The sequence below is a fragment of the Homo sapiens genome, chromosome 15 (genome assembly GCF_000001405.40).
Source record: "Homo sapiens chromosome 15, GRCh38.p14 Primary Assembly".
NCBI classification, from domain to species: domain Eukaryota; kingdom Metazoa; phylum Chordata; class Mammalia; order Primates; family Hominidae; genus Homo; species Homo sapiens.
The window spans coordinates 89,752,058-89,778,910 of record NC_000015.10 but is presented as its reverse complement, the minus strand read 5'-3'; the positions used below and the strand labels follow the sequence as shown (position 1 = coordinate 89,778,910).

Genomic DNA, 26,853 nt, shown 5'->3' with positions numbered 1-26,853 from the left:
TCAAACTGACAAATGAGGGCCCACCCAAACCTTGGCAGGCCTGGATTAGAGAAGGAAAGAGCAGCAGAACTTGTTCCCCACAGAAGGAAAACATGTTTCCTTTTCCAGAGGCAAGAAAAACCCAGGTTGATGAACAAAAAACAAGGCCAAACCAAATTTTTGTTGTGTGTGTGTGTTTTTTCTTTTTAAGTACAAAAAAATCAAAGCATACAGGGCTCTGGCCAACTGTCACCAAGAAGCAGAGCCTGGGGCCTGCCTCCTACACCCATTCTCCCACCTGTCCCTGCCCAGCTGCCTTTAGGGTAAAGGAGACCCCTTCTTAGAGCAGCTCAGACTGTGCTCTGCAGAGCGCCAGGCATTCTGGGGGTGTCTAGCAGTGGAGGACAGTGCCCCCGCCCTGACTCCATCCAGGGAAGGTACCCGCTATCTATTTCAAACACTGCTTCCCTGAAAGACATCACTTGGAAAAAGGGAGCCTTGGCTAAAGGAGAACATGAAAAGCCACTAATTAACAAATAAGGAGGCACCCAAGCTACAGGACTGATTCCTGGATGGAAAGAGGGAAGCCGAGGCCATTTAGTAGAAGATGCCCAGGCGGGCCCCCTCCAGATCTTCTTGCCAAAGTTCAGGGCAGCCACTGAACCGCAGGCCTGAGCTCTGGGGAGGGCTTGCTTCACTGAGCTGGAAGGCGGCGCCCGGTCCCTGGTCCTCTGAGTTGGGCACCACCTCTGCACTGTGGCTCCAGCACCTCCCGGGGGTCTGAGGCTGCAGTCTCTGGCATGATGGGTGGGGCAGGAGAGATGGAGCTCCCAGCGACAGACAGGGCTCTGGAGACACAGAGAGACCCTGCAAGAGAGATGAGAGCAGCCTGGTTAGTGGGCTACTCCCTGATATCCAGAGATCTTGAATCTGGCTGGTTGCCATGGTATGGCTGGCAGCATCCGGACAGCCCTGGTGCCATGAATGCAGCAAAGCCAAGTGGTTAAGAGGACTGGCTCGGGAGACACTCTGCTAAGGCTTAAATCCCAGTTCTGCTACTCACTAGTAATGAGAACTCAGGTAGCTTCTTTTAGTCTCAGTTTTCTCACCTGTAAAATAGAGATGCTGATAATACCTACTTCCTAGGGTCATTACTGGGGCTGAATAATACATGTAAGGTGCCAAGAATGATGATGGGCACATAGAAAGTGTTCAACAAATTTTGGTTAATATGATTTTTTATGGACGATGAGTCATTCATGAGCCTCATGAATGAACGAATCTTGAAGAAAACTTGAAATCACCAGCTCTAGGCCCATCTACTCAGGAAATGCTGCCCTTACCCTGGGACTTCCTTCCCCCACTGCAGTCTTAATAGCACTTGAAGCCAGCACGCCCACCCTGCTACTTTCCACCCTCTGAGAAAGTCGGCGGGCTCCCCCTCTTTCCCATGGCTGTGAAGACTGCTTGTGGTGACTGTGGAGATGGCCTTAACTTCCCAGGGTCCCATCTCTTCTCCCACGGAGCCGGGGGTTCCTTCCATTCTCCCCTCCGTTAGATAATCCTGGAGTAGATAAGCTGGGATCGAAAAAGTACGAGATTCTCTGCAGACTGGAGGCTGGGGAACACAGCAAGGGCCTCCACACATACCTGGTACACTGCGGCCAGCTCCAAAGTTGCTGGGGCCGCCGTCCAGGGCACTGGTGGGTTCCGGGGCTCTGGGGACGACTGCGTCCAGGGACAGCCTTGGGGTGGCGTCCAAAGAGACGCGTCGGAGGTTGTCCCTTGGGACGAATACGGGGGCGACTGTATCTTGGGGCAGTAAGGGGGTGTTGCCCAGGGATCCGTGTCGTGGACCCCCCTCCCCAGGCGCTCGGGTGCGGCTTGGGCTCCGGGGCAGGCGGACGGGGATCCCCAGGACGCCTCGGCGAGGACGGCGGAGACCAGGCCCGGCCTGCGCCCCTGCCCTTGCCCCTGTCCTTGCCCCTGTCCTTGCCCCTGCCCTTGCCCCTGCCCCTGCCCCTGCCCTTGCCCCTGCCCCTCCGCCTGCGTCTGCGCCTCTGCGGGGCCACGGTCGGGGCACAGCGGGCAGCCCCAAGGGGACCCCGCGTCCCCGCGCTGCCTGCGCCGGCACTGCAGACTCTCCTCGCTGAGACCCAGCACGGCCGATAGGTGGCCGATGTAGCGGATGGCCAGGCGCAGCGTCTCGATCTTGGTCAGGCTCTGGCCGGCCGGCGCCAAGGAGGGAGGCAGAAAGCGGCGCAACTCGTGCAGGGCGCGGGCCAGCGTGCGCATGCGCAGTTTCTCCCGCTCGCTGGCGCTCTGCCGCTGTCCGCCCGCTGGTCCGGTGCGCGCTCGTCTGGGCGTCGTCGCGGCTGCCTCTGCGGCTCGGGAGCTGCAGCTCGGAGGCTGTGGCTGCGGGAGTCCGCGGGCGCCGTCGCAGGGGCACGAACCCGACGAATCGGAGGAGGAGGCCGGGGACGTGGAGTCCCAGTGGCCGGCCCAGCCCCAGCCCTGGGCGAAGATCCAGTGGTCGTGGCCGAGGAGGCTCTGCGGAGGAGGCGACTGGGCCATGGCCGGGCTGCAGGCTCTGGGAGGCTGGGTTGGCCACCTCCAGGCCTGAGCTTTTATGTTGACCAAAGGTGCGAGGTGGCCCCCCGCCAGGTTGCAGAGAGGTGTCAAAACCCACAGAGCCCAGGGAAAGTCTGGGCAGGGGGCCCCTGGGAAAGCGGGCCCATTTGCGGAGGTGTGGATTCTGACTCCTTGGGGGCTCTAAATGGAGGCCCCTGCAGCCCGGGAAGTATGGGAGGGACAATTCGCATCTGGATGGAGCTGCTAAGCTTCTCACCACGCTCCCACCCACGCCCCTGCCCCGTCCACTGCTCACGGTGAGTGCCCGGGAGCCCAACAGAGGCGGGTAGTGCCATGGTCTGTGGGTGCCTCAGGGACCCCGTGAGGAGTGGGTGCCTCTCTCATCACTAACCTCCCGGAGGTCTGTGCCCAGGACGCTGTGCCTACTGTTGTATTAAATAAGGCATCAAGACAAGCCCGGAGGGCCCTGCCCATGGTGGCTGAGGAAGAAGTGCAGGTGGGCCCTTCTGGGGTCCCCAAAATCCACAGTTTCTGATTTGTTGAGTGACACACCAAGAAAGGCATCTCACTGCCCATGGTCTGTATCTACTCTTGAGAAATGGAATAGATTAGGTTGGGGAAGAGGAGTTGGGTACCCTAGGTGATGAAAACCGGCGAAAATGGGTCCCCAAGCCGGCCTCTTTATTGGCTGTGACCTTGGTTAAGTTATTTAGCTCCTCTGAGCCTCAGATTCCCTCATCGGTACCAATAGTGATACAAAATACCTATGCCTAGGATGGTTCCTGGACTAAGTACAGCGATCCCTGTAAAGCACTTAGGCCCTGGCAAGTGAGCTGAAGGTTTGCCATGATCGTTTTATAAAGAAGGTACTGGCCAGGCATGGTGGCTGATGCCTGTAATCCCAGCACTTTGGGAGGCCGAGGTGGATGGATCACCTGAGGTCATAAGTTCGAGACCAGCCTGGCCAACATGCTGAAACCCTGTCTCTACTAAAAATACAAAAACCAGCCGAGTGTGGTGGCAGGCACCTGTAATCCCAGCTACTCGGGAGGCTGAGGCAGGAGAATCGCTTGAACCCGGGAGGCGGAGGTTGCAGTGAGCTGAGATCGTGCCACTGCACTCCAGCCTGGGCGAGTGCGAGACTCCGTCTCAAAAATAAATAAATAAGTAAATAAATAAATAAATAAATAAAATAAAAGGAAAGTACTTAGATTTCAAGGCACTAATGGACTTTATTCATTTAATTCATATTTATTTATTTATTCTCTTTTTTTTGTTTTTGAAACAGACTTGGTCTATCGTCCAGGCTGGAGTGCAGTGGCACCATCTCAGCTCACCGCAACCTCTGCCTCCTGGGTTCAAGTGATTCTTCTGCCTCAGCCTCTCAAGTAGGTGGGACTACAGGTATGCACCATCACGTCTGGCTAATTGTTGTATTTTTAGTAGAGACTGGTTTTTGCCATGTTAGCCAGGCTGGTCTTAAACTCCTGACCTCCAGTGATCCACCCGCCTTGGCCTCCCAAAGTGCTGGGATTATAGGCGTCAGCCACTGCGCCTGGCCGAATTCATATTTAGCAACCAGTAAATGTCGAGCACACAGGGTGAATGAGCTAGTCATGGTCTCTGCTCTAATGAGATTTCAGTCTTGTGGGAAAGAAAAGTGAACAGGCCATTGTATGACAGTAGCTGTATGCCCTTAGGCAGAGCCCTTAACCTGTTTGAGCTTGAGCTTCTGCTCAGTAAAACAGGAATAATGATAGTATCTACATGGGATTGTGTAAGGGATAGTTGAGATAGTAAAATTTATAAAGTAAATGATATTCTCAGCAACAATTACAGTTTAAAGGAGATTGTCAATGTCCTGTGTGGTCTTGGGGAAAGGGCTGAGTCCTGAGGCTAAGAGTCAAAAGAAGACCAGGGACATTAGGGTTCTGGCCACAGAGGTGAAGAAGTCATAGCTGGGCCTTGAACCATGCGTAGGATTTGAGTAGGGAGAGAGGCAGGTGCCGTGCTTTCCGGATGGGAACTGCATAAGCAAAGACCTGGCCTTGGGACCTTCCAAGATGCCTTAGGAGCAGGGCACTGGGGTGGTGATGTGGAAGGCCAGAGCACACCTGGGCTGGGGCCAGGTTAAGGAGTTGGTTTTGGGAGCCATAGGGACTTTTGAGCGGAAGGGTGATACAATTTTAAAAATCATTAGCTAATAACTAACTAAAGATCAACATGACAATGGTGTTCAAGAAGAGATTAACCTGCAGCAGCCTGAAGTAGCAAATGGCTTCGTAATTATTTAATCATTATTATCATTTTTTGTGGAGTTGGGTTTTACCCAGGCTGGTCTTGAACTCCTGGGCTCAAGTGATTTGCCCTCCTCAGCCTCCCAAAGTGCTGGGATTACAGGCATGAGCCACCAGGCCCAGCTGCCTTGTAATATTTTTGTGGCTGATTTTATTTTATTTTATTTTATTTTATTATTTGTTTTATTTTTGAGACAGGGTCTGTCGCCCAGGTTGGAGTGCAGTGACAGCTCACTGCAACCTCCGCCTCCCAGGCTCAAGGAATCCTCCTGCTTCAGCCTCCTGAGTAGCTGGGACCACAGGTGCACGCCACCATGCCTGGCTAATTTTTGTATTTTTAGTAGAGATGGGGTTTCGCCATGTTGGCTAGGCTGGTCTCGAACTCCTGGCCTCAAGTGATCGCCTGCCTCAGCCTCCCAAAATGCTGTTATTACAGGCGTGAGCCACTGTGCCCAGGCTTCATTTATTTTAATTTTAGAGACAGGGTCTCACTCTGTTGCCCAGGCTGGAGTGCAGTGATGCAATCTTGGCTCACTGTACCCTAAAACTGTGTTCAAGTGATCCTCCTGCCTCAGCCTCTCAAGTAGCTGGGACTACAGGCGCATACCACTATGACTGGCTAATCTTTTTTTTTGTTTCTTTCTTTTTTTTTGAGGGAGGGCGTGGCTATTTTCAAAAATTAACTTTTAATTACACAAATTATGTAACTACTACCTTTCACTGTGAGAAATGGAAACATTACAGATAAAGTTGGAGTCTCTTTAACCAACCCCATAAACCCCCAAAAGGTAACAGCTGTTATTAGGCTGTGTGTGTAGTTCCAGACCTGGCCAGTGGGTTAACATAAACGTGTATCCTTAGCAAACACACAGTAACCCTCCAGTTACATTATGTACATTGTTATGTGTAAATGTCAGCTTGTAATTTGTTTTTCTTCTTTTCTTTTTCTTTTTCTTTTTTTTTTTTTTCATTCAACAGCATGTTTCAGAGCATTCCATGTCAGGACATATTTTGCTGACTCACCCTTTAAAAAAATAATGGATCAAATTTTTAGTGGGGATAATCCCAGCACTTTGGAAGGCTGAGGTGAGAGGTTGGCTTGAGCCCAGGAGTTCAAGACCAGCCTGGGCAACATAGTCAGACCCCGCATCTAAGAAAAAAAAAAATTAGCCAGGCATGGTGGGGTGGGCCCTGTAGTCCCAGCTACTTGGGAGGCTGAGGCAGGAGGATCCCCTGAACCCAGGAGTTTGAGGTTGCAGTGAGCTATGATCGTACCACTGTGCTCCAGTCTGGCCACAGAGCAACACCCTGTCTCAAAAAAAAAAAAAAAAAAAAAGTACTGCCTGCGAATACAGATTTAACCAAAACCTTGGTTATAGTTGATCTAAATGTTTTAAATGTTTATCTCTTTAAATAATTTTTTTCTTTAGACAGGGTTTCACTCTGTCACCCAGGCTGGAGTGCAGTGGGGCAGTCACCGCTCACTGCAGCCACCACCTCCCGGGCTCAGGTAATCTTCCCACCTCAGCCTCCGGAGTAGCTGGGACTACAGATGTGCACCATCACTCCGGCTAAAATTTGTACTTTTTGTAGAGACAGAGTTTCACCATGTTGCCTAGGCAGGTCTCATACTGCTGGGCTCAAGCAATCCATTCGCCTCGGCCTCCCAAAGTGCTGGGATTACAGGTATGAGTCACTGTACGCAGCCCATGTAAATAATTTTAACTTTGGAAAAAAGGTAAAATGGCAGAAGGTACGGATACACCTTCAATAATGAAATTATGTCACTTTTTCTCCTCAGAATTTATTTTGAAATATATCGGAGAAAATATGCCCAAGTCACTGCTCTAACGTTATGATGAAGTAACACTTGGTGTTGAATAACTCTGGGCAAACAACTATCGTTTAGTTTATTCTAGCTGCTATGAATAAAGAAGAGAAAATTTTAATTGGTCCATAACATGAAAAGAAGGTGGGATAGATTTCAAACAGGCTTTCTTTGGAGAGAAGCAGTTAGTTATGGAACATTTCATGGCTTAAAAGGGTTTAAACCAAAATTTAAAAAAAACAACAACAAAAAACAACTATTTCCTAAGGGGAAATAAGGGACAACTTGTAAAACATTCACCCCTAGACTTTTTGGGTTGAAATAATGGCACATGTAGTGTAGGTACATCATTTATTGGTCCGAGGCCACACAACACTATAAAGCTCTTGACATACTGTCTATCAGGGAACTTGCATGTATCCATTCAACAGTTATAAACAAAATTCATCAGGCTTCATAGATATGTCTTGATCTAGGTGCTGCATTTCAGATAGAGCAGGTGCTGTTTCTATTGGTGTTTCTTTATTATTTATTTATTTTTTTTGAGATGAAGTTTCGCTCTTGTTGCCCAGGCTGGAGTGCAATGGCATGATCTCAGCGCACTGCAACCTCCGCCTCCTAGGTTCAAGCGATTTCTCCTGCCTCAGCTTCCCAAATACGTGGGATTACAGATGCCTGCCACCACACCTGGCTAATTTTTTGTATTTTTAGTAGAGACAGGGTTTCACCATGTTGGCCAGGCTGGTTTTGAACTCCTGACCTCAGGTGATCCACCTGCCTCGGCCTCCCAAAGTGCTAGGTTTACAGGTGTGAGCCACCACGCCTGGCTTCTATTGATGTTTCTGACTCACACCTTTATTTTTGTTTATTTTTTTATTTTTTGAGACACTCTCTCTGTTTTGTCCAGGCTGGAGTACAGTGGTGTGATCTCAGCTCACTATAACCTCCGCCTCCCAGGTTCAAGCGATTCTTGTGCCTCAGCCTTCCAAGTAGCTGGGACTACAGGCATGTGCCACCGTGCCCGGCTAATTTTTGTATTTTTAGTAGAGACAGGGTTTCACCATGTTGGCCAGGCTGGACTCGAACTCCTGACCTCATGCAATCTGCCTGCCTTGGCCTCCCAAAGTGCTGGGATTACAGGCATGACTCATGCCTTTTAACTGCTATATGGTAGTCCATGGCATGCACAGCCACTTACTGATGCACCTTTATTGTATTTTTAGTTTTTGCCCAGCAGTGCTGCTTTGTGCATAAACAGCTAGGAATACAGTGGTGGATGGTCTTGTGATCTCCAGGAAGCTTCTGAATATCCAGAATTATTTCCCCCCAACCTCCTTAGAGCCAGCCTGAGGGATTTCTTGTGGAGGGATTTGGTATATAATGGGATTCCACCACAGGCACAGAGCCCTGCACATGGTACATACATCCTTTCCTCTCGGAGATTGCCTGGTCTCCTTCTACCTTGGTTTGAGCTAGCCTGGAGCCTAGACCCTAGGCTGACTGTGGGTTTTACAGTGTAAGTTCTGGAAGGTGGGGCCCTGGGCCTGGTTTGTTGTGGCCCCTGGCTCTTCCCTGTACTCCTCAGCTAGGCTCTGGAAGCACAAGGGCACTCTATCTGCTAGCCTCACTCACCAGGAGGGAACCCCAAGTGGATCCCCCAACTGGGCCTCCACTTAGCACAGGGAGGCAGTGCAGCTTAGTGGTCAGGTGTCTGGGCTGCAGAGTGAGACAGGCCTGGTTTCTTACCAGCTGGGAGAACTTGGGCAACTTACTCAATCTCAGTTTTCCCGTCTATAAGTGGGTATTCTGATCTCCAGGATAACTGAAGTAAAATAAGATAATGCATGTGATAACGTTTAGAACAGGGCTGATGTTATGCTTACAGCAAGTTCAGGAACAGCAGAAAGAAGTGATTAAAGGAATAGGTTGGACTGTGAGTAAGGGGAATGATATCTTCAGCCTTGGTCCCAGAAGGAAGTGATTCCTTGCTTTCTGGGAACTGCTCCCACACCAAACCAGGGCATCCTGCCCTCCCCACCTCTCCATATCCAGCCTTTCTCTTCTGTTGGGCCCTGGCAGGGATGCCTGTCCAACTTGCCTACAGCCCTGGGGCCCTTAAGGGGTCCACTTCTGGATGGGTGTGGGGCCACGTATTTACTCTGTGCTGGAACCTGCCCTAGGTGCCGAGCAAACAAGCCAGGTTTGGATCCTACCCTGCAGCCCCTTTTCAGTGTTTCCACCCTTCATTTGGTTCCCCTGTTAAAAAGAGGGCCTGTGGCTGTGTGCCATTGGGTAAGGTGATTACATTCTGGGCTTCAGTGTGCTAGTAGCACCAGGTTCACATCTTCCTTTCTGTGATAGGAATGGTGGCTAGATCAGGGAAACGTGATCAGAAGAATGTATTTGGGTTTCACAAGTGTGGCAGACACTGCTAGTTGCCCACACAGCCTTTATTTGCCTTTTTCTTTTAGTAATCTTGTGTTGTGCATGGTGATACACCCTGCTAAAAAAAAAAAAAAAAAAAAAAAGAAAGAAAAGAAAAAGAAAAATCACCATCTTGTTTAGGTCAGTGTCATTTTAGGAGGTACTATGAGCAACGAAACACAATTCCTACCCACATAATAGGGAAGTTCCCAGAGTTTCCTTATCACCAATGGGGCCATGTGAGCTGGATGACGGTTCAGTTAAGTGAATTCACAACAGATTCAGGGCTCCCACAAATGAATGAGCGGATGTTCACTGGGAGGAAGGTCTCTAGTGAGGGGCCACAGGCACTGTTCCCAGCCTTTTCCTGGGCAGTATTATGATCTTGAATGAAGATATGAACTGATCTAATGTGGGGTAAGACCCAAACCCAAAAGTGACTTGGGAAACAGCCAGTATCTAAATAAATCCTGACAGGCTGGAACAACCCATCAGACCTGATCAAATAGAACGAGCAGGTCCCCTGTACCCTTCTCCAAGTTCACGTCAGGAGGCATCCTGTAAAATCAGCACATGTGGGAGGGCATGGTGGTCATTGCCTTCAAAGTATGAGGGGCATAAAAGTAAATGTGATCCAAGCTGCATGCAAATTCACAAGAAGCAGGCCAGGCGCAGTGGCTCACGCCTGTGATCCCAGCACTTTGGGAGGCCGAGGCAGGTGGATCACTTGAGGCCAGGAGTTTGAGACCAGCCTGGCCAACATGGCGAAACCCCATCTCTATTAAAAATACAAAAAAGCTAGCCAGGCACGATGATGCGCACCTGTAGTCCCAGCTACTCGGGAGGCTGAGGCAGGATAATCCCTTGGACCCAGGAGGCAGAGGTTGCAGTGAGCTGAGATCGCGCCACTGCTCTCCAGCCTGGGCAGCTGAGCAAGACTGTCTCAAAAAAAAAAAAAAAAAAAAATCACAAGAAGCAGGGGTGGGGACGGGGGTGGGGGGGTCTTCAACTGAGGGGGGGTCTTCAACTGAGGAGTGATGGTGATGGTTCCTTATTCTCCAGACAGGATGGGCCCTACCTGAAGTAAGTGGTGAGAACTGGAGGCCACTGTTCATGAGGGATGGGGACAAATCCCAGCTTAGGGAGGCTGGTGAGAGGGCTTGAAGCCAGGTCACCAGTGAAATAGCTGGAGGACCTGGGAGCATTGAGTACAAAAAGAAAAAAGTGGAGGGGATGTGACGGTTGTCTGCAGAGGCACGGACCCAGGGGAACGCTCCAGAGAGAGTCTGAAGAACTTTCTAAGTCAGAGGCTCTGTCTTGTAGGGGAGGGAGTGGCCTGTTCCTGGAGCTAATCAAGAAAAGGTCAGATGACGACACGTTAGGCACGTGCAGGAGCTGGAGCAGATGGCTGCTGCGGCCTCTGCCAAGCTCTGTAAAACAGGGGGTTGGACCTGATGACCACTGATGTTGTTTCAGAGCTCAGGCCAACAACTAGGGAGAGAACAGGAGCTGCTGCTTCAGGACTCCTGGTAATCCCAGGGCAGGAACACAGGGGAGTCCTCAGGGTGTCCTGAGTAGGGGGAGCACAGCGGGAGGCCTCCCAAGTGCCCAAGCTCAGGCCACCTGCACACCTACTCTTGTCGGTGCCTGAAGCTCAGTGGCTCGGCTAGGCCTGCTCTCAGGGTTGGAAGCACAAAGCTGCCATCATCTTGTGCAGGTCTTGCCTGTGTGGCATGGGCCAGCTTGGCCCTGAGGCAGGTAATGCCCGTCTGTATTCCTTCTAGACAGTGAGGAATCTTGAGACCTCCATCCCACCACCCCTTTATGGGCCTCCCAGCACTTCCTCCCCAACCAGCAGTGGGGTGGGGAGGGCAGAGGCCTCAGGTTGGCCCCCCAAGATGTGCTCATTCGGCCCTGGCCCTGTTACAGGGTGAGAGAGGGCAATGCCCTTGGTCCAGCCCGCCTTTGGTGGCTTAGCACAGGCCCCTGCAGCCACCTGGCTGCCCACAGCCCTGCGCACAGGAGCTCTGCACCTGCTCTTTCTCCCTGGGTAGGTAGTGCAGGGCCCTGGGAGCAGGTCCAAGGCCCTGGAGCCAGGTTAAAGTCTGGCCCTGACCCACGGGTCTCCTCTCCTTTCCTTCCCCTTGGATCCCTTCCAGGCCCTAGGGGGTGAGAAGGCTGTGGGAATGTGGAAGGGAATTGGGGGTGCTGGGCCCTGAGGGAGCTGCAGGGCCGTGTGGTATTCTCATTACCAGCGAGGCAGAGAGGGCCAGCCCAGCCTCCCCCCCACCGGGCCACTGTGGCTACCTTCACACCTCCTGGCTGCCTGTTGACACAAAGGCCGCCTCCCTCAGGGCAGAAGGTGTTGACTTGGGAACCAGGGTGAGCAGGAGCCTCCAAAACAGCCCAGCAGCAGGTCCCCTCAGAAGCCCCAAAAAGTGCTTCTGGGGTGGGGGGTGGGAGGCTGCAGGTCCCAGCCCCAGGGGGCCAGGGTAAGGCCAGGGCCTATGTTCCTGGGCTAGGGATGGAAGGAGTGTGGGAGGACTCGGGTCTGGATGGACCGCTCACTTGGGGAGCCCAAGTCAGCATCCGCTGGCCCCAGGGGCTGGTACATGGGCATAGCCATGGAGGCCCTGCCAAGCAGAGCACCTCACTGGGAGGTGTCACTGGGAGGCCCAGAGACTGACAGCCACTGGGGCAAGGTCACAGAGCAGCCACTGGAACTGCTACTCGCCCCGACTGCGTGTCAGGCCAACCTCGTCTTCTGAGCCCTTTCCACAGACAAGCCGAGTCTGTGCCTGCTGAGCCTGCTCTGCTCAAACCCTGTGCCCTGCACCCTGCGGCTTTCCCCTGGCTCAGCTCAGGAAACAGGCCCCAGAGAGGTCACATCACTTGCTGAAGGTCCCTGGAGCCAGGACTCCAGCCCACTGGTATCTGGCTTTGAGTCAAAGACTGTGCATAACACCAGTGGGAACACTGCCTGGCTGGGACTAAGCCTCCAGGAGGACGAGTTGCCCGCTTGGGAGTGGAAGGAGAAGGACTGACAAGTTGGCACTGAGTCCGGTGGTGGCCTGGTGTGCAGGGTGCCTGTGGAAGGCAGGGAGGTGCTCCCTGCTGGGGCCATCAGGGCAGATTCTGGGGGGAAGGAAAGGACCTGAGATTGTGGATTTTCTCCAAGTGATGGCGGGTGGGTGTTCCTGGCAGAGGGAAAGGTGTGAGCCCAAGGCTGGAAACAGGGATGCCCAGGGCGAGCTTGCTGGCAGTGCCCAGTGGGCTGGTGCCTCAGGCTGGCAGGGATAAGCAGGAGATGATGTGGACAAGCAGGAGATGATGTGGACAAGCAGGTGGGAACTGGACGGGGTGGGGAGGTCCTGCTGAGTGAGGAGTTCAGACTCAGGGAGGCAGTGAGATCCACACGAGGTTTGAGGAAAGAGAGAGGTTGGAAGGCAAAGATCCTGAGGCAGGAAACTGGTCCAGAGGCTGCGCTCATCTCAGGGCAAGGGCTGATTGCAGCCTGGCAGGGGCCTGGGAGTGGGCCCAGCCGCCACTGGAGAGAATGTGGAAAAGGGGGAAGGACTGGCTGCTGTTGGCTGGGGAAGTAAAGGAGGGGCTGGGAGCCACAGGCATGGGGAGCTGCCCAACAGAGCTCACTCTCTGCTCTTCCTCCAAGAAGGCTGAGCCAGGGAGTCCCAGGACTACCTGGTCCAGTTCCTGGGACAGCAAGGCCCATGGAGGCAGCTCAGGCCTAGGGCCAACAGTGCCTGGGGTCAGCTCCCCATCTAAGCCTCAGTCTCCTCATCTGAAATGGATGTCCTTGCTGGGAGGATTAGATGGAGGACCACATGTTGGGCACCTGGGACTCCACAAGTCCTGCCTGCCTGCCTGCTCTGCTGGAGAGGACCACCCCAGGCCCTGCAGCTCTTGGGAGGACAAAGGGCAGTGCCCATTCCAGGGGCTGCAGGCTCTGGGAAGGAAGACCCAGCCTCCCAGGACTTGTCTCCAGGCTTGGGCTTATCCATTGGAGTGTGAACAAGATGGATAGCGGGGCAGGGGGGTTCAAAGTGTTTTCTCCTCCCCTCCCCTCCCCTCTTCTCCCCTCCCCTCCTCTCTTCTCCCCTCCCCTCCCCTCTTCTCCCTTCCCCTCCCCTCTCCTCTCCTCTTTCCTTTTTCTCTCCTTTCTCTCCTTCCTTCTTCCTCCTCCTCCCTTCCCTTTCCTCTTCCCCTTCCTCTTCCCCTTCCCTTCCTTTTCTTTCCTTTCCTTCTTTTTTTTCACCAAAGCAACACATCCTCATTACAGAAAAGGGAGAGAATATACACATACAAAAAGAAGGGAATTTAAAAGGCCCCCAGTTCCATCAACTCAGAGAGAAGCACTTTGGCCCATGTCATTGCATCTTAACCTTTTTTAGGCCTCTCTACCAGCACAGGAACATAGAGATAGAGGCATTGAGAGGCAGCATGTCACTTTCTGGGGTTGTTTTTCTGTTTTTTGAAGCTTCTAACATATATATTTTTTTCTCTTTTTTTTTTTTTTTTTGAGACGGAGTCTCACTGCTCTGTCACCCAGGCTGGAGTGCAGTGGCGCAATCTCTGCAAGCTCTGCCTCCCGGGTTCACGCCATTCTCCTGCCTCAGCCTCCCGAGTAGCTGGGACTACAGGTGCCCCCCACCACACCTGGCTAATTTTCTGTATTTTTAGTAGAGACAAGGTTTCACCATGTTAGCCAGGATAGTCTCGATCTCCTGACCTCATGATCCACCTGCCTCGGCCTCCCAAAGTGCTAGGATTACTGGCGTAATCCCAGGCCCACGCCTGGCCTATTTTTCTCTTTTTTTTTTTTAAACAGCTTTTTTGATATAGAATTACATACCATACAATTTGGCCGGGCGTGGTGGCTCATGCCTGTAATCCTAGCACTTTGGGAGGCCAAGGTGGATTACTTGAGTTCAGGAGTTCGAGAACATCCTAGGCAACATGGCGAGACCTTGTCTCTACCAAAAAAAGCAAAACTTAGCCAGGTGTGGTGACGCACGCCTGTGGTCCCAGCTACTGGGGTGGCTGAGGTGGGAGGATTGCTTGAGCTTGGGAGGGTAAGGCAGCAGTGAGCCATGACTGCGCCACTGCACTCCAGCCTGGGTGACAGAGCCAGATCCTGTCTCAATAAATAAATAAAGTGTACGATTCAAGGTTTTTGTATATTACATTTTAATTATTTAAAAATTGTAATATTCACCTGAGGTTAGGAGTTCAAGACCAGCCTGGCCAACATGGCGAAACCCTGTCTCTACTAAAAATACAAAAATTAGCCAGTTGTGGTGATGCATGCCTGTGATTCCAGTTACTCAGGAGGCTGAGGCAGGAGAATCGCATGAACCTGGAAGGCAGAGGTTGCCATGAGCCAAGATTGCGCCACTGCACTCCAGCCTGGGCAACAGAGTGAGACTCCATCTCAAAAAAAAAAAAAAAAAAAGTAATATATATAACATAAATTTGCCATCTCTGCCATTTTAAAGTTTGCAATTCGGTGGCATTAATTACATTCACAGTGTTGTGCAACTATGACCACTTCTATTTTTAAAACGTTTTATCACCTTAAATGGAAACTCTGTAACTCTTAAGCAATAACACTCCATTATTCCCCACTTCATTCCTTGGTAACCTCTTACCGGCTTCTGTCTCTGAATTTGCCTGTACTTGGTACCTCATATAAGTGGAATCATGCAATCTTTGTCCTCTGGTGTCTGGCTTCTTTCACTTAGCATAATGGTTTTCCAGTGCATCCACATTGTAGCATGTATCAGTACTTCACTCCCTTTTATGGTTGAATGATATTCCATTGTGTGGATAGACCATATTATGTTTATCCATTCATCCTTCAATGAACATTTGGGTCGTTTCGACCTTTTGACTACTGTAACTAGAGCTATGCATTGGTGTACAAATATCTGTTCTAGTCCCTGCTTTCAATTTCTCTGGGTATATAGTGTGCTGTTTCATGACCAGCTTTTCTCACTGATATATCGAGAACATTCTCCATACCAGTAGATGTACTTCTGCAACCAGATTTTTAAGGCATGCTCTGTACTCCACTGGTGACGTGGTGGTGACAGTTTAGTTAACAAAATATGTATTCTGAGATCCCTTAATAAAGTTTTCCACATAAGTACATCCTTATGCCTATATTTTAAAATTTATTTCTATTTTTATTTATTTATTTTTTAAGACTGGGTCTTGCTATGTTACATTGCCCAGGCTGGTCTCGAACTACTGGGCTCGAAGCTGTCCTCCTACCTCAGCCTCCCTAGTGCTGAGACTACAGTAATGTACCACCATGCCCAGCAATAAAATTTAATTTAATTTAATTTAATTTTTATTATTTATTAATTTTTGAGACGGGGTCTCACTCTGTCATCCAGGCTGGAGTGCAGTGGTGTAATCTCAGCTCACTGCAGCCTTGCCCTCCCAGGCTCAAGGTATTCTCCCACCTCAGCCTCCCAAGTATCTGGGACTACAGGTGCACACCACCACACCCAGCTAATTTTTTTTAAAAAAAGTTTTTTTGTAGAGACGGGGTTTCACCATGTTGCCCAGGCTGGTCTCAAACTCCTGGGCTCAAGCAATCCATTCGCCTCCACCTCCCAAAGTGCTGGGATTACAGGTATGCACCACTGCGCCTGGCCAAAACTTATTTCTATTTTTTTAACTTTTTAAAAAAATGTTTATTTTTTCAGATGGAGTCTCACTCTATTGCCCAGGCTGGACTACAATGGCATGATCTTGGCTTACTGCAACCTTCACCTCTTGGGTTCAAGCAATTCTGCCTCAGCCTCCCAAGTAGCTGGGATTACAGGCATGCACCACCACACCTGGCTAATTTTTGTATTTTTAGTAGAGACGGAGTTTCACCATGTTGGCCAGGCTGGTCTCAAACTCCTGACCTCAAGTGATCTGCCTCGGATCCTCGGCCTCCCAAAGTGCTGGGATTACAGGCGTGAGCCACCATGCCCAGCCTTTTTAATTTTAAATAATAAAAAAATAATAAGAAGAAAGAAACCTAAACGATTCGGTATTCCCAGGCTGTCTCCCATCCTAGTACTTAGCTTCTGAGATAAGACAAGATTGGGCGCGTTCAGGGTGGTGTGGCTGTACACCAGAACTTATTTTTAAATTGCACATGTAATACATGAATGTAGTCTTCTTGTGAAAAATGTAAACACTGAAGACAAAATTCAAGCTTGACCAGCCCCCAGAACTCAGACCTGCCCCCACCCACACTCCAAACAAGTCCTGGTATGTTTTTCTATATTTGGTGTGTACCCAAGGCCTCTGTCTATGTACATATACACATATATACGATAGACCCTTACAGAATACATGGTATCATACTATGACTTTCTGTGTAGACGGGCTGTTTTTCAAATTTCATTTTCTTTTGCCTTTGCTTATATCAGTGGTGCCATACTGAATGAAATTTCTGCACCTTGATTTTGTCACTAAGCAGTCTGTCTAAACTTGCACTTTTAATCTTTTCCAATCAGGATGAATTGCTGTCAGGGGAATGGCTGGGCAAAGGGCATGGTGAGGCTGTTCTGAAGCTTCAGCCCAGCCCTGTCGAGTCCAGGAGGTGCATGGTTGAGGCTGACCTGGTTAATGGCAGCCAGCAGCACTGCCCACACACCTGGGGCACCTTGGCCAAGGCACCTGGCCATCCTGTGTGCTCCCAGGGCCTGGGGTGGAGCATAATCTACAAGGCTGAAGAAAACTTCCTTGGCTCAGGCCAAGCGCTGGATCGTGGATTTCTCTTGGTGAGGGGCCTTGGGAGCTGAGGATAGAGTTCCTCTTGTCCTCGGTCTTTGGCACGTGGTCAGTACAGATCATGTAAGACCCCTCTTTTTATTTCACATCTGGCCAATTTAAGCTCTCTCCCCCTTCCCTTCAATGTTCTCTAGCCTGTCCAGGGATGCCCTATCCCCAGCCTCTGGCAAAGGACCCCCGCCCACTGGCGCTGCACTTCCCCAGGTCCTGCCCAGGCATTCCAGCTAGGCCCCGGGAGCCCCACTCTGCTTTTTACTGGGTCTAAAGTCAGATACCTTGGGGGCATTCTCCTAACCTCAGATGGAGCACCCGGAGCTAGCCAAGGGCCTGAACCAGGCAGCTCGTATGAGGTCCCAGGCTGGTGACCTGGGCCGGCCCTGCACTCTTCATCCTTCTGCCCGGGGCTGGCCACCCTCCCAGCACCTCACCACTGTTGCGGGCAGTCAGTAGGGGAGAGGGGGCACTTAGGGCCCAAAGCCTCCACTTCCTGCCTGGATACAGCTCCATCTTGGGCTTTTCTGGAGGGCCTGAGCAGGCTGGGCACACCCAAGTTGGCAGCTGAGCCAGGTCTGCAAACCCTCACCCGAGAGCTGGCAAGAGTTTCGAGTTTCGGTCAGCTTGTGGTCTGGCCTCTTTCTACCTCAGCTGCACCTGGGGCATGTGTGTGTTGGGGAGGGGTGTTGAACTCTGCTTGGCTCCTGCCTTCCTGAAACTGTCATCCTTTTCCTCATTCTGATGGGCTCCCATCTTGCTCCACGTCTCTGCACACAGATGCGTGCTTTTCCTGGTGGACAGACGGGCAAACGTGTCCAGAGAGGGCAAACGGCCTGCCTGGGGTCACATGCCCTGTCACACAGGCACTGAACCGGCCTTCATCTATTTCTTAAGCCAGCCCAGCATCCCTGACACATCTACACAGTTCCCAGCGCACCCCCAAATAGAGCCAAGCCTGGGTTCTGGCCCTAGCCCCAAAAAACGTCCTTAAGGATTGGAGGAAGAGCTGTCCAGCTCAGACCCAAAGATCCCACACGGCTGGGCAGCGCCCTCTGTTGGCTGTGGTTGGGAGTGCGTGGACACTGGAAAGCCAGGGGTGAACCCTCTGTCCCGACTGGGGCCTTCCCACCAAGGCAGGCAGTGTCTCCCAGGACATCTCAGCAGGCAGTCGGGAGCCCCTGCTCCATTTTGCAGGTGGCATTGTGTGACAAGTGTGCCTCCTCTCTTTATACCTCAAGTTTCCCCACTTTTCACTCTAAGGCTGAGACCCATTGGCACTTCCCTGGAGAAAGTGAAGGAGCATAAATGCTACGTCCCTTAGGAGAGACGTGCTATCTGCTTACCCTGCATTGTCAGCCAGCTCCAGACCCACCAAGACGCGGCACTTCCTCTTGAGCCTTTCCTGGAATCTGCCAAGTCTCTCTCTCCCACCCCCTCCCTCCTCGTCACCCCTGGGCTGCCTGCGACTTCCACTGGCTGAGCACCCAGCTGATCTGTAGCCAGATAATCAGATTATTGTGGGTCTAGAATAATCTATTCCATATGGCTTGCCAGCTCAGTGGCTCCGAGAGCTGAAGGTGTGAGGGGAGGGAGTGATCGTCCTTGGAAGGGGCTGCCCTGGGAGCTGCGGAGCCTCAGCGGGAGGCTGATAGGAAAGGAAGCACAGGTGGGGGAAGGTGAGCCCGCCTTGCTGGGCCCTCTGACTTCTCTGGGCTTCAGCCCAAGCATGGCCTCCAGGCCTCACGATCTGAGACCCACAGGGGCTGGGTGCTCCCCAGGGCCTTTCCCACCTTTTGATTGGGGTGGGGTGTTCACCGTGGGGCACCGCTGCATAATTTCAGGGAGATTTTATTTTTTATCCTCAGGCTGCATCCTCCAGGGATCTGGTCCATGAAGTCCAGATGGGGCCTGCAAGCTCTTCTTCTTCTTTCTTCTTCTCTCTTCTTTCTTCTTTCTTCTCTCTTCTCTCTTCTTCTTCTTCTTTTCTTCTTCTTCCTCTTCCTTCTTCCATCTTTCTTCTTCTTCTTTATTCTTCTTCTTCCTTTTCTTTGTTTGTTTGTTTTTTTTGAGACAGTTTCACTCTTGTTGCCCAGGTTGGAGTGCAGGGGTGTGATCTCGGCTCACTGCAGCCTCCACCTCCCAGGTTCAAGCAATTCTCCTGCCTCAGCCTCCCGAGTAGCTGGGATTACAGGCACCCACCACCGTGCCTGGCTAATTTTTTGTATTTTTATAGAGATGGGGTTTCTCCATGTTGACCAGGCTGGTCTCGAACTCCTGGCCTCAGGTGATCCACCCACCTCAGCCTCACAAAGTGTGGGGATTACAGGCGTGAGCTACTGTGCCCGGCCTCTTTTTCTTCTCAGTCTCTGTGATGTGAAGCAAGGCTTAATGTGACCGGAGGGGTCCCCAACCCCTTCACTCTTAGGACCTCCCTCCAGGATGGAAGGAGCCACTCATCCTCCGAAGGAGACATGGGAGATATAGGGAGGACAGAACAGAGGCTTTGGCCTCTGACAGAGACAGATGGATGCCAGCTCAGCCCCTGCTCACCCTGTTAGGTGGGACAATCTCTCTGAGCCTCTGTTTCCTCATCTACAAAGTGGGGGCCACTACACCCACATCAAAGTGTGTTGTGAGTGTGAGCAGCGACCCTGCAAAGCTCCAGCCCAGTGCCAGACCTCGGGGGACAGTAGTGTGCACGCACGCTCCATGCAGCCTGAGTTGATCCGCACATGCTCAGCCCAGAAGGCAGGAATTACCCTGTGGCACAGCAACAGACAAGACACTGAGGCCAGAGATGGAGAGCGAGGTGCCCAAGTGGCACAGGTAGTGCATGGCAAGGCAGGGCCTCATGCCCACATTGGCCAGACTCCAGAGGAGTGTCCTGGGCTGTCTGAAGGCGGAGGCTTCACTACTAACAATCTCTCCCCTGAGAGGGTTGCTGCAGAGGTGTGGCGGGAAGATCCTTGGCTGTGGGGGACACCCAAATTAGGAGCTTCCCAGGAGATGCTAAGTAGGCTGGCAGTAGGAGAGCCGCTTCCTTCTCCTGGGGCCTCTGGCTCCGGCAGGGACAGGATTAGGGTCTGCAAGGGGACGATTTACATAGCACCTCTGATTAGTACTCCTATGTCAGAGGGACTGGCTGGGAAATGAGGGCCTTGGGGCTGGGAGGGGGGCCGGGCAGTGCCCAGGACCCAGGTTTGGCGTGAGAAGCGGGCTGGGTAGAGTGGGGAGGCTGAGGTCCAGGCCTGAGCCTGAGAGGGTGCTGCCCTGTCCAGCCTGCCCCCCATGCTGGCCTCAGCTTGCTCTGTCACCTCTGCTCCTGTGGGGCTGCCCCAAGGCCTCATTTCCCAGCCTTACACGTTTGGCAGAGGGTAGGCTCGGGCCAGGGGAGCAGAGGCCACTAGCTCCGGCACTTGTCAAAACACAGGCCCCAGAGGTGTGAAGGCCTCACCCCAGTGGGAGAGCGTGTGGGCCCTGCCGCCCGGAGAACTCATTAACTCAGGCAGCCCCCACATGAACCCACCGGAGAGGCTGGCCACAATAAGGAGATCAAAGGGGAGACAGGCAGGGGACAGGGAAGAGGAGGCTGGCTGGTGGGAGGCGGCAGGGACTGGGCTTCAGGTTGGGGTGCCTCCCATCCCTTAACTTGGTTCCATCAGGCCCACTGACCATTGCCCTTGCACCAGCTGGGCCCCTGGGGCGACTTCCCAGAGACCCCAGGGGAGGGAGGGACTCCATGTGTTCCCTTCAATTTGTCAGCCTTGAGGGCTGAAGACCCCAAAGACGGGACTGGGGATAGAACCTTCCCATCTGCCCCACCTCTCTCTTGCCATATTTGTGGGTTGTCTCCACAACTCACCCCTGTGCCTTTCTAACCCTACCTCAGTGGTGACACGAGGGATCTTCCTGTCACAGGCCATTCCTGATGTCCCTCTCCTGCTCCATATCTCTTGGTGGCTCCCACGTGCTCACTTAACATTAGCTATTAGGTTTCAGATCTGAGAACTTCTAGGGGCTGTGGTTTCAACATAAAGTGTGCTTCCCACACATATGGTCTCTTGTCCAAATATGTGTAGTTGATTTTGTACTTAATAAAATACAGGCTGGGCATGGTGTCTCATACCTATAATCCCAGCACTTTGAAAGGCTGAGGTGGGAGGATCACTTGAAGCTAGGAGTTTGAAACCAGCCTGGGTAACAAAGTGAGACTCAGATTCTACAAAAAAAAATATATATATATTTTTTTTTATTTATATATATATTTTTTGAGACAGAGTCTCGCTCTGTCACCCAGGCTGGAGTGTGGTGGCACCATCTCGGCTCACTGCAACCTCCGCCTCCTGGGTTCAAGCAATTCTCCTGCCTCAGCCTCCCAAGTAGCTGGGACTACAGGCACCCGCCACCATGCCTGGCTAATTTTTTTGTATTTTTAGTAGAGACGGGGTTTCACTGTGTTATCCAGGATGCTCTCAATCTCCTGACCTCCTGATCCACCCACCTTGGCCTCCCAAAGTGCTGGGATTACAGGTGTGAGCCACTGCGCCCGGTCCAAAATAATATTTTTTAATTAGCTGGGTGTGGTGATGCACGGTGCCTGTGGTTCCAGCTACTGAGGAGTATGAAGTGGGAGGATTGCCTGAGCCCAGGGGATCGAGGCAGCAGTGAGCCAAGATTGCGCTACTGCACTCCAGCCTGCGTGACAGAGCAAGACCCTGAAAAAGAAAAAGAAAATAAACAAACAAACAAAAAAACCCAAAACCAAATTCATTTCAAAGCATTGTTGACAACCCAGTAATGGCGGTTTCTTCTGGCACAGGCAATTGGGAGCCCCAGAGCAGGATGGTAAACAGGTTTGCTCTACCTTCTGCACGTGTTGACTTTGTAACTATGTGTAAAGCAAATGCTCTACTTGCAAATAAAGATACGAAGATAAAACACGAGTTTGTGGTCATTCTGAGTTTACTCAAGTAAAGCTACGAAATGAAGTCACAATCATGCGAGAATCAGGGCTTTCTTGGCATTGAGAGGCTTAGCAGTCCCTGGACCACAGGGCACCTGGAGCCTCCTGAGGTCCAGCCTTTCTGCTTTCTGGCCTTTTCTTTTCTTTCTTTTCTTTTCTCTCTTCTTTTTTTCTTTTTCTTTCTTTCTTTCTTTCTTTTTTTTTTTTTGAGACGGAGTCTTGCTCTTGTTGCTCAGGCTGGAGTGCAATGGTGAGATCTCAGCTCACCACAACCTCCACCTCCTGGGTTCAAGTGATTCTCCTGCCTCAGCCTCTCAAGTAACTGGGATTACAGGTGCCTGCCACCATGCCCAGCTAATTTTTTTGTATTTTTAGTGGAGATGGGGTTTCACCATTTTGGCCAGGCTGCTCTCGAACTCCTGACCTCAGGTGATCCACCTGCCTCGGTCTCCCAAAGTGCTGGGATTACAGGCGTGAGCCACCATGCCCGGCCGCCTTCTGGCCTTTTCTCTGCACCCACTCCCACCCCGGCACACAGAACACTTTACCAATTCCCAACCGCATGTTCCCTTGGGGCCTAGTGGCATCAAAGAGGCCCAGTCACTGGGCCCCCATGCCAGTTTCCTGAGTTGGCTCTGGAGCCCAGGAAGGCATCCATCTGCTGCAGTCCAGGAGTGGGCTCTGCTGACAGCTGCAGGCTGAGGAAGTGCCTCTTGGGCCAGGCTGTCCTTGGGTGTAGATGGATCCTAGGGCATATGCACAGGGAGGGGGCTTCTCCCCTTCTCCCCACTCTAGGGGTTGGCTGGCACTGCTTCTCCTGGATGTGATCCTGGGCATAGGCATTCTGGGGCTGCTGGGACAGACTGCAGAGGAGGAGGAACAGAAGGTGTCAGAGGAGGCCAAGAACAGCAGGAGACAGAAGAGATCCCAGGAAGGAGGGGTGGGAGACATGCCCAGGGAGAAGGTACCATGCCATGGGGCCATCATCGCTACAAACCAGCTCACCCATCAGGCTCACTGGGCTGGAAGCTATGGGGGAATGCAAAACATCAGACCAGCAAAACTGGAATCCCAGCACTTTGGGAAGCTGAGGCGGGCAGATCACTTGAGGTCAGGAGTTCAAGGCCAGCCTGGCCAACATGATGAAACCCCATATCTACAAAAAAATACCAAGATTAGTCAGGCATGGTGGCATGCGCCTGTGGTCCCAGCTATTCAGGAGGCTGAGGTGGGAGGATCGTTTGAGCCTGAGAGGCAGAAGCTGCAGTGATCCCAGATCATGCCACTGTGCTCTAGCCTGGGCAATAGGGCAAGACTCTCTCTCAAAAAAAGAAAGAAAACAATCAAACACAAATTGGGACACATATCTATTCCACATCAGCTAATCAACTCTGAGTGTCCTGTACTGCTTGGATAAGTAACAAAGTATTACATACTGACATTATTCCAAAGGAGTTTACAATCTACTAGAAACAATTAGGATTTAAAACATAAGAGCATGAACAAGAAGACAAATAGTTTGGAAAACTACCATACTAAAGTTCAGAGAAAGCTTCATCAAAGGTAAAAATTGGGCTGGGACTGGGCACAGTGGTTCATGCCTGTAATCCCAGCACTTTGGGAGGCTCTCTTGAAGTCAGGAGTTCCACATGGAGAAACTCCGTCTTTACTAAAAACACAAAAATTAGCTGGGCGTGCTGGCACACACCTGTAGTCCCAGCTACTTGAAAGGCTGAGGCAGGAGAATCGCTTGAACCCAGGAGGTGGAGGATGCAGTGAGTCGAGATGGTGCCACTGCATTCCAGCCTGGGTGACAAAGCGAGACTCCATCTCAAAATAAATAAACAAACAAATAAAAATAAAAATGTTGAGCTAGGTTTTGATGTTTAGAAAGCTTGCTAAGTAGGAATGAGGGCACTACAGGGTGGGGCAGTGGCATGGACAACGGCAGAGAGGTGGGACTTGGTGTGTGCGTGTGTGTGTGTGTGTGTGTGTGTGTGTAGAAAACAGAGGAAGACAAGTCTCATGTGCCAAGGGGTCTGTGTCCCAGAGCAGAGACAGCCTGAGGGCTGAGAGGATCCACATTCCAGAGATCTTGGAGGCCAGAGGAAAGAATGTAGATTGAAGGGAAGATGGAAGAAATGTTTCCTACAGAAGATTAGACTGGGTGAAGGAAGTTGGGAGAAAGACTGGATTCGGGTAATGGAAAGAAAAGCAAAGAAAGAGGTGGACCTGAAGAAAATACAGAAAGAAGGGATGTCATCTGGTGACGGCTTGGAAGGAGAAGGTGAAGTGGGAATCCCTGCAATTTCATACCATGAAGAAAGCTGGTATTGCTGAGAACCAGGCCAGTTAAGCAGAGAAGATGGGCGAGGGGTGAGTGGAGGGGTAGGGAGGAAAGGGGGTGGAGGAGGGAGGGGACGATGAGTGGTTTGGTGTACACCAAGCTTGTCCAACCCACGGCCCAGGATGGCTTTGAATGTGGCCCAACACAAATAAACTTCTTAAACATTCCGTAAACTCCTTAAAACATTATGAGTTTTTTTTTTTTTTTTTGCAATTTTGTTAGTGCAGTAGCTATCATTAGTGTATTTTTTTTTTCTTTTTTTAGACAGAATCTTGCTCTGTCACCAGGCTGGAGTGCAATGGCACAATCTCAGCTCCCTGCAACCTTTACTTCCCAGGTTCAAGCGATTCTCCTGCCTCAGCCTCCCGAGAGCTGGGACTACAGGCATGCGCCACCACACCAGGTTAATTGTTTGTATTTTTAGTAGAGACAGGGTTTCATCATGTTGGCCAGGCTGGTTTCGAACTCCTGACCTCAAGTGATCCCCCTGCCTCGCCCTCCCAAAGTGCTAGGATTACTGGCTTGATCCCATGGTGCCCAGCCTCATTACTGTATTTTATATGTGATTCAAGAAAATTCTTTGTCTTTCAATGTGGCCAGGAGGCGGAGGTTGCAGTGACCCAAGATTGCGCCACAGCACTCCAGCCTGAGCGACAGAGCCAGACCCTGTCTCAAAAAAAAAAAAAAAAAAAAAAATCAGACATCTGGCACTGAAAGAAACCATTCCGCTTGAAAACAGGTAAAGATATGATGCCAGACACCCAGACACCAGGTACTTCACAGTCTGGCTGGAGAGCAGATAGCCATGCACGAAGTACCTATTAAGACCAGGGTGCAAACTCAAACTCCTGAGGGGCCAGGTGAAATTTCATCCAGGCTGCAGTGCAATGGAGCGATCTTGGCTTACCATAACTTCCGCCTCCCGGGTTCAAGCGATTATCCTGCCTCAGCCTCCCGAGTAGCTGGGATTGCCGGCGTCTGCCACCATGCCTGGCTAATTTTTGTATTTTTAGTAGAGACGGGGTTTCGCCATGTTGGCCAGGCTGGTCTCAAACTCCTGATCTCACGATCCACCCTCTTCGGCCTCCCAAAGTGCTGAGATTACAGGTGTTAGCCATTGTGCCTGGCCCTTTTCTAATATTCTTTAACAACTCTGCTTTCTTGGATGGGAATTCATGAGCTCTAGTACTTGAGGAGATTTTCATCTGTAGATGTTAGGATTTTCTTATCTACTATATTCAGCACCCATCCTGGAGCAAACTCAAAGAAAATCTGCCTTGGATCCTTCTGAGTACTGAACATTTGAAGAGTTCTTCTTTCGTGATATCCAGTAAATTAGAACTGTCCTTCCTGGCAAGCTCAAGTTGTGCTTCAGGAAATTTGGCAGGATCTGCCAGGTTCCCACGATTCTTTGCATTGGTGGAATATGGTACCAGTGCTTCAGAAGGAAGCATTCTTTTTGGAATGGGTTGTCTCCAAAAAGAATGGAACAGGTTTGGATAGAATTTCCAGACTTCTTGGATCCTGTAAGGCTGTAGTGACACCACCACCATTTTTTTCAATTGCAGCAATAGCTAGTTCTGAAGCCAACTGTACTTCAATATTAACTTTTTTTTTTTTTTTTTTTTTTTTGGACAGGGGGTCTCACTCTGTCATCAGACTGGAGTGCAGTGGCATGATCTCAGCTCACTGCAACCTCCACCTCCCGGGTTCAAGTGATTCTCCTACCTCAGCCTCCCAAGTAGCTGGGACTACAGGCACGTGCCACCATGCCTGGCTAATTTTTGCATTTTTAATAAGACGGGGTTTCACCACGGTGGCCAGGGTGGTCTCAATCTCCTGACCTCATGATCCACCCCCCTTGGCCTGCCAAAGTGCTGGGATTACAGGTGTGAGCCACCGCGCCCGGCCCAATATTAACTTTCACCTGAAAGGTGTCTGCGGCCTTTTCGACCAGCTGAACACCATAATCCTCTTTAAGTGGCTGAATGGTCACACCTCTTCCATTGACAAGCTGGGTTAAGTCAATAGGTTGAGTAGGATCAACACGACCCAAATCAGTAACATATTACAGTCTATTGATACTTAAAGGTTGATACTGGTGTCTGAAGCTAAGTCCTTCATTAAATCTGTATTTTGGGATTCCGATGTAAAATAGAGTCTGGCCATCCCCAAAGCCCAGCAGAGCCAGTTTCCTCTCTGCCTTTCTCTTTTATGGCCTCTGCCGCATTTTCTACCTCTTCTCCGACCTTTTGGTCGTCTCATGGGTTTCCTGGAGCCAGGATTCCGCTTTAAATTGGTCAGGCTCATGCGCAGCAGGGCCCAGAGCTGCCATAACCTGCGAAAAGAGTTTTATTTCTTCCTTTCTGACCTGTATGTCTTTTGTTTCCTAATTGCATAGCCTAGATCCTCCATCTGGTACAATGTTGAATAGGAGTGGTAAGAGAGACACCCTCGCTTTGTTCCTGCAATCGGGGGGTGGGGGGAAGATTTCAGTCTTTCACTACTCAGTATGAGGCTACCTGTAGGTTCTTTGTAGGAGCCTTTCATCAGGTTGATGAAATTCCTCTCTATTCTTAGTTTGCTGAGAATTTTCATCACGAAGGGTGTTGGA

At 51.1% G+C, this 26,853-nt stretch overlaps 1 protein-coding gene, 1 long non-coding RNA gene and 1 pseudogene across 3 annotated transcripts, besides 3 other annotated features; 1 reads left to right on the top strand and 2 right to left on the bottom strand.

The window, feature by feature from the left end:
* Positions 157-2,579, bottom strand: MESP2 (mesoderm posterior bHLH transcription factor 2). The gene is made up of 2 exons (NM_001039958.2): positions 1,630-2,579; positions 157-846 (listed from the first exon to the last, which is right to left on the bottom strand). Exons 1-2 carry the CDS (start codon positions 2,551-2,553, stop codon positions 577-579), a joined length of 1,194 nt encoding a protein of 397 aa, NP_001035047.1. The 5' UTR covers positions 2,554-2,579; the 3' UTR covers positions 157-576.
* Positions 2,156-2,315: a silencer, noted in NCBI's record as "silent region_6806". NCBI's record gives its function as "represses an Ori minimal core promoter by ATAC-STARR-seq in GM12878 lymphoblastoid cells {active_cell/tissue: GM12878}" and the evidence as "EXISTENCE:reporter gene assay evidence [ECO:0000049][PMID:35858748]".
* Positions 2,302-6,817, top strand: LOC124903550 (uncharacterized). Of its 2 annotated transcripts, none has more exons than XR_007064751.1 (2): positions 2,302-2,621; positions 3,860-6,817. It is a non-coding gene; the product is annotated as an uncharacterized LOC124903550 (long non-coding RNA). The 2 variants fall into 2 exon arrangements; XR_007064752.1 differs by having other exon boundaries at positions 2,337-2,867.
* Positions 10,558-11,275: an enhancer, noted in NCBI's record as "H3K4me1 hESC enhancer chr15:90310867-90311584 (GRCh37/hg19 assembly coordinates)". NCBI's record gives its function as "activates a minimal SCP1, AML or CMV promoter by ChIP-STARR-seq in primed H9 embryonic stem cells {active_cell/tissue: H9 hESC(primed)}" and the evidence as "EXISTENCE:reporter gene assay evidence [ECO:0000049][PMID:30033119]".
* Positions 17,438-17,527: a silencer, noted in NCBI's record as "silent region_6805". NCBI's record gives its function as "represses an Ori minimal core promoter by ATAC-STARR-seq in GM12878 lymphoblastoid cells {active_cell/tissue: GM12878}" and the evidence as "EXISTENCE:reporter gene assay evidence [ECO:0000049][PMID:35858748]".
* On the bottom strand, positions 25,367-26,567 carry MRPL15P1 (mitochondrial ribosomal protein L15 pseudogene 1; annotated as a pseudogene).